Source organism: Homo sapiens, chromosome 11 (genome assembly GCF_000001405.40).
Source record: "Homo sapiens chromosome 11, GRCh38.p14 Primary Assembly".
Taxonomy (NCBI): Eukaryota; Metazoa; Chordata; class Mammalia; order Primates; family Hominidae; genus Homo; species Homo sapiens.
The window spans coordinates 124450851-124453401 of NC_000011.10; positions in this window are offsets into that span (position 1 = coordinate 124450851).

Consider the following 2551-nt stretch of genomic DNA (forward strand, 5'->3'; position numbering starts at 1 on the left):
TGGGCAAAGGAAGAAATTAAGAAGAAATTTTATAATTTTTTGAAACAAATGAAAATAGAAACACAACATACCAAAACCTATGGGACACAGCAAAAGCAGTATTAAGAGACAAGTGTATAGCAATAAATGCTTACATTAAAAAACTACAACAATTTTTAAATAAACAACCTAATAATTCCCCAAAAAGAACTAGAAAGGCAAGAACAAACCAAATCTAAAATTAGTAGAAGAAAATAAAGATTAGAACAGAAATAAATACAATTGAGACTAAAATATTAAAAAATCAACAAACAGCTGTTTTTTTAAAAAAAACAAAATTGACATACTATTAGCTCTACTAATAAAAAAGAAGCAACTCCAAAATAAATAAAATTAGAAATTAAAGAGATGTCACAACAAATACCGCAGAAATATAAAGGCTCATTAGAGACTATAGTGCAAAGTACACACCAATAAATTTGAAGACCTAGAGGAAATGCAAAAATTCCTGGACACATATAACCTACAAAGATTGAACTAGGAGGAAACAGAAAACCTAAACAGACCAATGACAAGTTGTCACAGGAATGCAAGAATGGTTTAATATACACAAATCAATAAACATCATACATCACATCAACAGAATGAAGGACAAAAACCACATAATCATCTCAATACATGTAGAAAAAAGCTATTGATAACATTCAACGTTCCTGCATGATAAAAACTCTTAATAAATTGGATATAGAAGGAAAGTATCTCAACATAATAGAGGCCGTATATCCCAAACCCACAGCTAACATCTTACTGAACAGGGAAAATTTTAAAGTTTTTTCTCAATAACTAGAACAAGACAATGATGCCCAACTCTCACCACTCTCATTCAACATTGTACTGGAAGTCCTAGCCAGAGCAATAATGGAAGAAAAAGAAATAAAGGACATCCACATTGCAAAGGAAGAAGTCAAATTGTCCTTTTTTGTAGATGACATATGTATATATAGAAAAGACTCTACTAAAATAACTCTTCTAACTTATAAACAAATTCAGTAATGTTACAGGGTACAAAATTAATCAATAAAACTCAGCAGTGTTTTTATACACAATGAACTACCTGAAAAAGAAATCAAGAAAGCAATCCCATTTGCAATAGTGACAAAAAATTAAAATACCCAAAGATAAATTTAACCAATGAAATTAAAAACCTCTACAAGGAAAACTACTAAACCTTGATGAAAGAAATTCAAGAGGATACAAACAAAAAGAAAGACATCCCATGATCATGGATTAGAATAATTAATTTTATTAAAATGACAATATTATCCAAAGCAATCTACAGATTCAATGCAATCCCTATCAAAATACCAATGACATTCCTCACAAAAAATAGAAAAAAAATCTAAAATTTTTATGAAATCACAAAAGACCCTGAATAGCCAAAACAATCCTGAGCAAAAAGAAAAAACTGGAAGAATGATGCTGCCAGACATCAAAATATGCTACAAAGTTGTAGTAACTAAAACAGCATGGGATTGGCATAAAAATAGACACATCGACCACTGGAGCAGAATAGAGAGTTCAGAAATTAATCCACATATCAACAGCCAAATGATTTTTTGACAAAGACACCAAGAGCACTCGTTGGGGAAAGGACAGTCTGTTCAGTAAATGCTACTAGGAAAACTGGATATTCTTATGCAGAAGAATGAAACTAGACCCTCATCTCTCACTCTATACAAAAAAAAAAATCAACTCAAAATGGATCAAAGACCTAAATGTAAGACCCAAACAATTAAACTAGTATAAGAACCCATGGGGGAAATGCTTCAGGACATTGGTAAAGGAAATGATTTTATGAATAGGGCCTCCAATGCACAGGTAACAAAAACACAAACAAATGAGATTATATAAGTTACAAAGCTTCTGCACAGTGAAGGAAACAATCAACAGAGTGAAAAAATAACCTACAGAGTGGAAGAAAATATTTGCAAATTACTTATATGATAGACAATTTATGTCCAGAATATACAAGGAACTGAAGCATCTCAATAGTAAGAAAACAAGCAATCCAATTAAAAAATGAGCAAATGATCTGAACAGACATTTCTCAAAAGAAGGCATACAAATGGCCAACAAATATAACAAAAAATGTTCAACATCACAAATCATCAGGAAAATGCAAATCCAAACCACAATGAGATATCATCTCACCCCAGTGGATGGCTATTAACAAGAAGACAAAAAATAACAAATGCCGGCAAGGATGCAGGGGTGGGAATGCAAACTAGTAAAACCACTAAGGAGAACAGTATGGAAGTTCCTGGAAAAACTACAAATAGAATTACCAGATGATCTAGCAATTCTGCTACTGGGAATCTATCCAAAGGAAAGGAGATCATTACATCAAAAAGACATCTGCACCCTCATGTTTATTGCAGCACTATTCACAATAGCCAAGATATGGAATCAACCTAGGTGTCCAACAACAGATGAATTGATAAAGAAAATGTGGTATATATACACAACGGAATACCATTCAGCCATAAAAAAGAATGAAATCATGTCATTCACA